General features: G+C 55.6%; 1 protein-coding gene across 9 annotated transcripts in view, besides 1 other annotated feature; it reads left to right on the top strand.

The window, feature by feature from the left end:
• Positions 1–10,091, top strand: part of GTPBP1 (GTP binding protein 1) — a 37,172-nt gene that overhangs the window by 18,680 nt on the left and 8,401 nt on the right. For 4 of the 9 annotated variants that reach the window (XM_011530537.3, XM_047441614.1, XM_017029100.3 and 1 more), the window contains exons 7-13: positions 1,383–1,527; positions 1,635–1,817; positions 2,590–2,725; positions 3,360–3,538; positions 4,839–5,039; positions 5,989–6,036; positions 9,701–9,774. In XM_011530537.3, coding sequence (XP_011528839.1) covers positions 1,383–1,527; positions 1,635–1,817; positions 2,590–2,725; positions 3,360–3,538; positions 4,839–5,039; positions 5,989–6,036; positions 9,701–9,774 — 966 coding nt within the window. Of the gene's footprint in view, positions 1–1,382; positions 1,528–1,634; positions 1,818–2,589; positions 2,726–3,359; positions 3,539–4,838; positions 5,040–5,988; positions 8,965–9,526; positions 9,781–10,091 lie in introns of those variants that run through there. The other 5 variants (XM_047441615.1, XM_047441616.1, XR_937967.3 and 2 more) reach the window with 4 other exon arrangements.
• Positions 7,524–7,573: an enhancer, noted in NCBI's record as "active region_19017". NCBI's record gives its function as "activates an Ori minimal core promoter by ATAC-STARR-seq in GM12878 lymphoblastoid cells {active_cell/tissue: GM12878}" and the evidence as "EXISTENCE:reporter gene assay evidence [ECO:0000049][PMID:35858748]".

The following is a 10,091-nucleotide window of genomic DNA, read 5'->3' on the forward strand; positions in this document are numbered from 1 at the left end:
GTAACCCAGATTGTGAGGTGCTGGCATTCCTGGGGTTGGCATCCCGGCTGAGACTTCAGTGTCCTTATCTGTGAAATGGGAATAACATTCCCTTCCCTGTAGGGCTCCCGTGAATGTTGGAAATGAAGTATGTAGAGCACTTAATGCCCTGCCTGGCTGATGGATGGTAAATACACAGCCATTTTTGTAACTCAGTTTTTTATACTGTTGTTCCTCAAAAGCTCACTAATCAGATCAGTTTTGGCATTTACTCATTAATGTATTCTTTCATTCCATAAATATTTATTGGATGTTTGTTCTGCGAGACTCTTCATCTAGATGTTGAGGATTCAGAGTTGAATTGAACACAATCCTTGTCCTCAAGGTGTTCAGCTCCTTGGTGAGAGATGCTCTCTCGATAATGGTGAACTCTACTAACTCTGCCTGTTTGCCCAGAGCTTGGTCTATAGCGCCAGGCCCAGAGCAGCCTGGCTTTTTGCCTATGCCTCTGCCCTGATGTGATCTTCAGTACCATCAGTTAGCCTGCAGAGGGGGCACATTTCAGACAGCCCCATTTGAGCTTGTTGATATTCTTGAGTGCCTATTCTGTGCAGGCACTATTCTAGGAGCTGTGGGGAATGTGTAATTCGTGATCTCAAGGATTTTAATTCAGTCACCCTGAATAGGAGCAATAGAGGCCATTTACAGGACTCTGATGAAAAATCAGATGCAGTCATGTGTAATAGAGAAAAAGCTCTCCAGGAACTCAGAGGAGTCAAGAGTGTCCACCCAGGAAGGATTTCATGGAAGAAGTGGTATTTGAGATGAGCTCTGAAGGGTGAGAGGGCCTGGTAGTTGCATAAAAGGGAAAGAATTCAGGAAGGAAGGTCAGAGTGAGCAAATCCACAAGGGCAGAAAAGTTCCAAAGTTTTAGGAGAAGGGAGAGTTCTCTGGTGTGGCTGGAATATAGGAATTTGCGAGAAGTGAATCTGCAGAGATGGCTACAAGCCCAAGCCAAAGGGCTGTGAGTGTTGGGAGAGGGATTTGGGGTATCTTCTCTGTGGTGGAAAGGCGGTTAAGGATTTTAAGCAAGCATGCGTGTGTTTTAGGAAGAAGCAGTCATGAGGTTCCAAACTAGGGCAGTGGTGGAGGACAGAGAGGAGAGGACAGGTGTCAGAGACAGAACTGAGTGAGAGAAGAAGGCCTCAGAGTAGGGCTGGCCAGGAGCTTGCTAGGTCAGGGCAAAGAGGTCAAGCCCTTGGAGGCAGGTGAGGGAGAGGTGGAGTCATGAATAGTGGCATCTGCTCCTCGAGCCCTGTTGCTGCCCCTGGTCTGTGTCAGGGCAGGACCTGGTCTCCTGAGTGCCTCTCTCCTTTTTTCCTTCCTCTTCTCCCTCTGCTTAGGATGTGCCCGATATTCCAGATCTCCAACGTTACAGGCGAGAACCTAGATCTGCTGAAGATGTTCCTCAACCTCCTCTCCCCCCGCACCAGCTACAGGGAGGAGGAGCCTGCTGAGTTTCAGATTGATGACACCTACTCCGTCCCGGTAAGTGGCTCTGGGCGGGTAGCTGGGTGGGCACTTCCTACAGTGGCATCAGGGGGTGGGTCTGTGCTGGGGATGCACTTATGAGGCCAGGGTCTTCTCCTTGGCAGGGTGTGGGGACAGTGGTTTCGGGGACAACACTGAGAGGCCTGATCAAGCTGAATGACACGCTGCTGCTGGGCCCAGACCCCTTGGGTAACTTCCTGTCCATTGCTGTCAAATCCATCCATCGCAAGCGCATGCCTGTCAAGGAGGTGCGGGGTGGCCAGACAGCATCCTTTGCGCTGAAGAAGGTGAGTAGCGATGATACTGAACGCTCCCCTCAGACTCCATCATGCTAGGCTCTTGGCCAGATGCCCTGCTCACCCACTCTAGTCCTCATGGCTGCTCTGCAAGGTCGGGATTACTGGCTTCATTTTTACAGATGAGGAAACTGAGGCTCAGAGCCCAGGGACTTGCCCAAGACACACAGCTTGTAAGTGCTAGAGCGAGGAATGCCTCCTTCTAAGCTCCGTTCCTCCCTCTGGTGCCTGAGCAGGGTGGCCTGAGCTCAGTGGTGAGGTCAAATAGGAGTATCCCTGCTGTGCAAGGATCCTTCTACATAGGACCATTGGGATCTGCGCCACATCCTCTTCCCATTCAGCCTTCTATCTCCTGGGGTTTGGGGTGGGTTGTAGTTCAGGGGTCACCTACCTTTACCCACCAACTAAATTAACCAGGAATAGTAGGACTTTCTTCCCCACAGTGGTCAGGTCATGCCCACCTGTTGTTCCCCCTGAATGCTTGCCTGCCTTTGCTTCCTCATGCGTCCTTCATGGCCGAGCAGCTGAAGTGCTGATTCCCGCATGAAGCCTTCCTGACCCCCAGTAGTAGTGTTGAGTCTTCCCATGGAGCACTGAGGGTGCTCGTGCTGTCCACCCTAGAAGGCCTGTGGTCCAGTTGGTGAGGAAACCAGGCAGAGTTGGGGTGGTCCCTATCCCTAGAAAGACTCTTGGTCCCTGGGACCAGGGGTGAAACCAGAAGGCATAATTGTCCCTGAGGGCTGGGGCTCCCTCTTTCTTTCAGATCAAGCGCTCGTCCATCCGGAAGGGCATGGTGATGGTTTCCCCACGTTTGAATCCCCAAGCCTCCTGGGAGTTTGAGGCCGAGATTCTCGTCCTCCACCACCCCACCACAATTAGCCCGCGCTACCAGGCCATGGGTAGGTGTCTAAGGCCCTGCCAGCCCAGGAGGCCGTCGTGTTAGCTCCCCTCAGAAGGTGTTCCAGCAACCCAGGCCCCCTAGTTCCAGCTGCAGCTGGGTGGTAGGCCTCCTTCCTGTTTAGTGATGCCGTTCCTTCTGTTCTACCCATGAGCCGCAGTGTTGATTCCTTCCCACAAACACTGAGGGCTGGGCTCTTGAGACCCAGACCTGTCCTCAGGGACCTCACATGCAATCCTTCAGCAAGGTCTGCTGAACGCTGCTATGTGCCCAGCGGTGTTGCTAAGGTGCTGGGAACAAAGATGAAGTAGATGGGCAAGGATCCTTCCCCGCAGAAGCCCACAGTCCAGCGAGGAGGTGCATGTGCAGTGTGCTGTAATCCCAGGAACTGGGACCCTTGTCTGCCCAGGGCCTGGGGGTGGGGGATGACGGGTGGGCATTAGCTGGAGGAAAAGGTGGGAGATGGTAAGGCAGGATCAGAGCCAAGAACAGGCTTCACGGGGGTCTGTAGCCCCAGAGATAAGCCCCCACCCTTCCACAGCTTAAGCGTATTTCATGCTTTCACTCACTGCCTCCCGTTGTCCTGAAGCCACCAGGTGGCTCCAGCCTATCCTGACCTCTGGCTTCCTTGACAGTGCACTGTGGGAGCATCAGGCAGACAGCCACCATTCTGAGCATGGACAAGGACTGTCTGCGCACTGGGGACAAGGCCACTGTACACTTCCGCTTCATCAAGACCCCTGAGTACCTGCACATAGACCAGCGGCTGGTGTTCCGGGAAGGCCGCACCAAGGCTGTCGGCACCATCACCAAGGTATGGCCAGGACAGACCTTGCCTGCCTCCAGGAAGCACCAGGGGCCACTCCTGTTCTGTGACCCTGAGTGCAGGGCAGAGGTTTAGTCACTGCCATGGGAGAGCTGGACCCACTGAGGTGTGGCCTCGGTGCCATCTCTCTACTCCCTTAGAGGTATCCTGTGGCCTCCTGTCCTGGGCAGTGGTGGTGACCATGGAGAGGAGAAGGTAGGGTTAGGGTATGATCTTCCTCCATAGAAAACTGGTGACAGAATGTCTGGGCCCAGCCAGGCTCAGCCTCCAGGGTGCTGTCACAGGTTCCTATGGCCTCACTGGGACCATGTCTAAGGTCTCCTCTCAGAGCAGAGGTCTGGTTGGAGTAAGTGCAGGGGGTTATGGGCGTGAGTTCTCTTGGGGCTTAAGCTGTTGGTGTATCCTGGACACTTGCCCACTGCAGACCTTGCCCCTGGTCTTGGAGGGGCATTTGATAGAGGGGTTTGACCCCTGCTCCGTACAAAGGAGGTACTGGCCCCAGCCTATCTGAGATCTTGGAATCAGTCTTTGGCTGGCCTTGCCTCCAGAAAAGGCCCCCATCCATGGTCACCCTGGGGCTACAGATGTCCTTGAAGGCCTGCATGCTCCTGGGACTGCTGAGTTTGGCCAAGGCTGCAGCAAACACTGTAATGTCCTCTGGGACTCACTGGGCTTCTTTTGTGCTTTGTATGAGATAGAACTTGGGCCACAAGGGAAGATTTCAAGTCAGTTACTTCTGGCCAAACTCCAGATGTTTCCAGCTGAGGAGACATTCACTTGGTCTCTTCGGGAGGCCCTGAGTTAACACTTGCCCTAGACTTGTTACGGGGGCAGCAGCAGCGTGCTGGGGCTGGAGCTGCAGCATGCTCTGAGGAGTCTCCACCAGCTTAGCAATCAGGAGATCCCGGAGCTCCACTTGCCAGGCTCTGTGCAGGCTCTGGGCTCTGGGGGCTGGACTGAGCGGGAGGTGGGAGCAAGGTTCACCAATTTCTCTGCAGGAATAGTAGCTGCAGCAGAGAACAGGATGGAGCCTTTCTGGGCTGGGCAGAGGCAGGAAGTGAGGCATGAGTCCAGGGCCATAGCAGTCCTCAGCCACTGAGTGGGGATGAGAATGCCTCTTCATCCCCACTGCCTCCTGTCACAGCCTTCCTGCCATCTGCCTTGCCCTGAACTGGCAAGATCAAGGAATGAGGAGTCTGTGGGAGAAGGGGGCTGAGGGTGGGGGGTAGCCAAGCCAGTGCCACTGCCCCGCAGCTCCAGCCTCAGCCTCTCTCCATGGCTCCCACAGCTCCTCCAGACCACCAACAACTCCCCAATGAACTCCAAGCCGCAGCAGATTAAAATGCAGTCGACGAAAAAGGGCCCCCTGACGAAACGAGACGAGGGGGGCCCGTCTGGTGGGCCAGCAGTAGGAGCACCCCCACCTGGAGATGAAGCCTCCTCTGTAGGGGCAGGGCAACCAGCTGCGTCCAGCAATCTCCAGCCTCAGGTGAGCACGGGCCCCTCGCAGCTTCGGCATGGTGGTGGGGGCTGTGGCTTTTACTCTGATTCGGTGAGGGTGACATGTAGGCAAGCCTCAAACCTGGCTAGAGGGTCTCCTCCACAGCTCTGGCACTGAAGTGCTCCTAAGAATGAGGCATTTGTCTCTAGAAGCTATAAGGCAGTGCTTCCAAATCAGGGAATACAGCCCACCTGAAACCAGTTTAATTGGCCCTAACTAGCATTTGGTTTTAATGAAATAAAATAGAACAGAAAAATGTCGAAGCTTCCCTTTCATAGTAAGATTAAGTATTGCAAGTATTGCTGGTGTGAGTGTCCAAGTGATATATGTGTGCACTGCAGTCCAGCAGGTTTGAGAGACACTGCCTTAGAGGGTCCTCCTCTGTCCCCTCCCTGACGTGCACACATCCTGAAGGGGAGGTGGCTTTGGGATGTGCCAGTGCGCCTCTTACTCGGCATCTCCTGCCAGCTGTCTCCCACAGGCACTCTCTCCTGGCGTGATGAAGGCCTGGTGCCCCTTGCACCCCTCTCCCCAGCATCTTTCTCCATTGTCCCCTCATTGGAAAAGGAGGCTATGCCTGGATCTGTCTGTCCATTCTGTTATCTGTCTCCCATGGGTCTTTCCTCTGGTTCGTTCGCTTCCTTTCTCTCTCTCCTGCTCTGCTTTGTGCTTCTCTGAACGGCCGCTTCTCACACCCTCATCATGTGTGTCCTACCCACCCTGTAAGGAAGGCAGGGCAGGCACTGGCTCCATTTTAGAGACAGAGGGGAGGTGCTGCATGCAGAGTGACCCAGTAAATTCCTGGTCAGGCTAGGGTGAGGACCACGCAGCCTGCTCACGCATCTTCCGTCCCTGTCTCCCCGCTGCTCAGCACCTCTGCTCTCTGGCCCTGCTCCTGATGGGCCAGTGCTTCTCAAGCTCCTTCTCTCTCTTTCAGCCTAAGCCCAGCAGTGGAGGCCGGCGACGAGGGGGCCAGCGCCACAAGGTGAAGTCCCAGGGGGCCTGTGTGACTCCTGCCAGCGGCTGCTGAACCTTCCCCTGGCCCACCCTCACCACCCAAGGGGTCATCATCTCTGGCCACCACTCCACCAGATGGGCAGAGCAGCTATGACCGCCACCCAGCCCTCCCGCTCAGGCCACAGCCGGAGCCTCCGCATTGCCCCCACCCCCATTTTCCAGGGGGGTTGTAATTTATAAGCTGACGAAGGTAGCCAGACTTCCGGAGGACTGACCATCTCTCACTGTCCTCCCCACCTTCTTCCTCACTCACACATTTTTTGTACATCTGGGCCCTTAGTTTTTATTCTGTTTATTATATGTCTCTGTCTCTCTCTATTGTGTGTGTGTGTGTGTGTGTGTGTGTGTGTGTGTGTGTGGTGCAGGAGTGCCACCCCCAGGGCCCTGTCAACCTCTCTTTTCTCCTCCATGGCTGTCTGCCTGCGTATCTGTCTCTGAGAATCCTCGGGGCGGTCAGGGGATGTCAGGAGGGGAAGGAGCCGCCCTCCCTATCTTGCTGCTCCTCTTGGCACTCAGGGGCACCTTCCATGGAGCCAGACCGGGTGGAGGGGCTTCTGGGATTTGGTGTCTGCTGCTGCCAGAGCAGGAACCCCCAGTCTAGGACTTGGGCATTTTAACAGGGAGAAAGTAGTGGCTTCCCTTTTCTCTCTCTCCTCCTTTTTCCCTTTAAGCCCACAGATTCAGGTCATGCCAAAAGCTCTCTGGTTGTAACCTGGAGACATGTGGAGGGGAATGGCGATGGGATTATAGGACTCTCCCCATCTCGGGCCCTGACCCTGACCCTTGCCACCAACCCAAAGACAGCTGGTGGGTTTCCCCTTGGAGACAATCCTGCGTTTGCCTGGGCCGGCCCTGGCTGCCCTCAGCTTTCGCTGATCTGCCCGGCCTGGAGCCTCCCATCACCCCGCTTCTTGTTGGGCCTCAGGCACTGGTTACCAGAAGGGGGTCTGGGTCTGCTCAGGATCATGTTTTGTAGCACCTCCTGTTGGAGGGGTGGAGGGATGTTCCCCTGAGCCAGGCTGAGACTAGAACCCCATCTTCCCTGAGCCAGGCTGAGACTAGAACCCCATCTTCCCCACCACGCCACCCCTGTGGCTGCTACAGGAGCACAGTAGTGAAGGCCTGAGCTCCAGGTTTGAAAGACCCAACTGGAGCGTGGGGCGGGCAGGCAGGGGTTAGTGAAAGGACACTTCCAGGGTTAGGACAGAGCATTTAGCCTTCTGGAAGAACCCCTGCCTGGGGTGGGACTGTGCAGGCCAGAGAAGGTGGCATGGGCCTGAACCCACCTGGACTGACTTCTGCACTGAAGCCACAGATGGAGGGTAGGCTGGTGGGTGGGGGTGGTTCGTTCTCTAGCCGGGGCAGACACCCAGCTGGCTGGGTCCTTCCTCAGCCTTGCCTCCTCCTGTCCCCAACCCTTTCCTTTCCTCCTGCTTGCGGACTGCTGGTCCCCTCTCCTTCCCTCCTTCCAGCTGTTTCTAGTTACCACCTACCCCTGGCCGTGGACTGATCAGACCAGCATTCAAAATAAAAGTTTGTTCCAAGTTGACAGTGTGGTGCTCCCTGCCCAGCCCCTCCAGGTGGAGGTGCTGCCACGGGAACGCAGTTGCTCTGCCTGCCCTGGGGCCCCTGGCGACAGCTGGGAGCAGGGCAGTGCTGTGAGGAGCCCAGCTTTCCCAGTCAGGCAGGCATGGCTTCCGTGTTCAGGCTCCCTCACCAGCTGGTGACACGGGACAAGCTTACAAACCTTCTCTGAACCTCAGTTTTCTCATTTACAAGAGGCAAAGCCATCCATCACCTTGTGTGGATTCAGAGAATGTGAGGCCCTGGGGTGTCCTACACAAGGGAAAGGCTTGCTCAGTGAGCGGTCTGCACACCGTTAGCCACCCTGCCACCTCTGTGCCCTGGGCAGGCTCCAAAGGAAAGCTCTGGCTGGGACTGCCAGGAGTCTCACACGCTCCTGTTGACATTCCCAGCAGCCGCCCCTGAGGTCGATGTTTGTTCTGTTTTTCTTTTTCTTTTTTGAGACGGAGTCTCGCTGTGTTGCCAGGCTGGAGTGCAGTGGTGTGATCTCTGCTCACTGCAACCTCCGCCTGCCAGTTTCAAGTGATTCTCTGCCTCAGCCTTCTGAGTAGCTGGGACTACAGGTGCACGCCACCACGCCCAGCTAACTTTTTGTATTTTAGTAGAGACAGGGTTTCGCCATGTCGGCCAGGGTGGTCTTGATCTCCTGACCTCATGATCCACCCGCCTCAGCCTCCCAAAGTGCTGGGATTACAGGTATGAGCCACCGCACCGGGCCTGTTCTATTTTTCTAGTTAAGGGAACTGAAGCTCAGAGAGGTGTCACCAGCAGGTGTTCATTCCCATGCCAGCCTTGCCCCCCGGCTTTTCCCAGGCAGGCTCCTGCGTGCCCACTGGCTCCAGCCTGGTCCTCTGTCTCTTGGCTGCTTCACTCCTGCTCTTTGTCCCGACTCTGGCCCTGCTTACAGGGGCCACTACCTGCTGGTGCCTCCATAACAAGCGTCTGGCGTTGAGACCCCTGGCATGGCAGGGGCTTTGGGGTCTGGTTTCCACAAGGCTTAGCCATGGCAGAACCTCGTTTTATTTTAACTCTTTGCCCCTACAAACAAACAGCAGTACTTGCCAGAACCATTCTTGGGATTCAGGAGCTCGGGCGACTGCCTTGGCCTCTGGCCGCACCCAGGAGGGTGGGGTTGGATCTGTGTAGTTGCCAGGCCCACACCTGCCAGCAGGGGGCTGACTGGATCCATGCTTTACTGTGTTTAATGGGGGTAACAGGGGTCCCTACAGCCCTCCCAGCTAAACATTTGGAACAAAACACCAGCCCTTTTGTAGTGGATGCAGAATAAAATTGTTAATCCAATCACCTCCAATGGCAAGGCCTGACCCTTCTGTGTGTGCAGCAGGTGTTTGTGGCGTCTTTCCCAGGAGTAAGGCCTGTGATGGTGGGATGGGGATGGCCAGACCCCTGACTCCACAGTCAGGACTGTTCTGGCTTATCAGCCACCCTGGCACAGAGAAGGTCACAGGGATGAATATGCCACGCACAGGGGCAGCACAGGTTTAGTTGGGTTGGGGGAAGTACCATGGAGCCGGCAGTGTGAGGGCTGTGCTGTGAGGGCCCAGTAGGATTTGAATGTACAGATGGGCAGAGGGCATGTGCCCAGCCCAGGCTCTGGACTCTTGCCACAGTGTGTGGCAACTTCCAGGGGCTTGTTTATTGGTGCTGCGTGGGGATGTCTCCTTTGTTTAGATGGCGTCAGAGGCAGAGCAGGTGTCAGTGAAGGGGAGTGAGCACAGGACCAGCTGTCTCCCAAGAGGCTGAGGAGCTGGCCCAAGGCTTTGGGGGCTGGATTTGTGCCTCACCCAGCTCCTGCCTTGTGGCTGTCTCCACAGTCCTCCCTACTGACTGGCTTTCTGCCTTTGTTTTCTCAGCCATGATGAGGAGCAGCCCTGGGCCAGGTGCCACGGTCAGTATGAGAGGCTCCAGGATCAGGCTAGAGAACCACGCGAACCAGGTCTGGGGAGCTATCTGTGGGAAAGGTCAGGGCCTGTTTTTCTCCTAAGCTGCTGGCTGTTCAAGGGACCTACCTCCTTGTCCCTTCCCAGTCACAGGTCCAAGGGGCAAATAGCGAATTCCCATGGAGGAGAATCACTGCACTCCAAGTGGACGTGGCTGGTAGGTAAGTGTAACTTTTTCTGCTGCTGTTCAGTGGTACTGAGAGACAGGAAAGCCCCACTGCTCCCGCCCCACCCTTTGTGATGGGTTATCAATGACAGCTAATAAAGCCACCTCACTGCTTCCTCATGCCAGCCCTTGACCCACAAACACTGGAGGAGACCTGCCTCAGGTCCCATCCCCCACCACAACTGGGCTTTAGCTGAAAGTTGTGGGTTTCTGAACTTCAGGAATAAGTCTTTGGGGACATTCGTTTGGCCAAGAATTCATTCCCTCATCTGCCCAAGAGCAGCTGCCCTAGGTGATAGGCAAAAGCCACAT

Source organism: Homo sapiens, chromosome 22 (genome assembly GCF_000001405.40).
Source record: "Homo sapiens chromosome 22, GRCh38.p14 Primary Assembly".
NCBI lineage: Eukaryota > Metazoa > Chordata > Mammalia > Primates > Hominidae > Homo > Homo sapiens.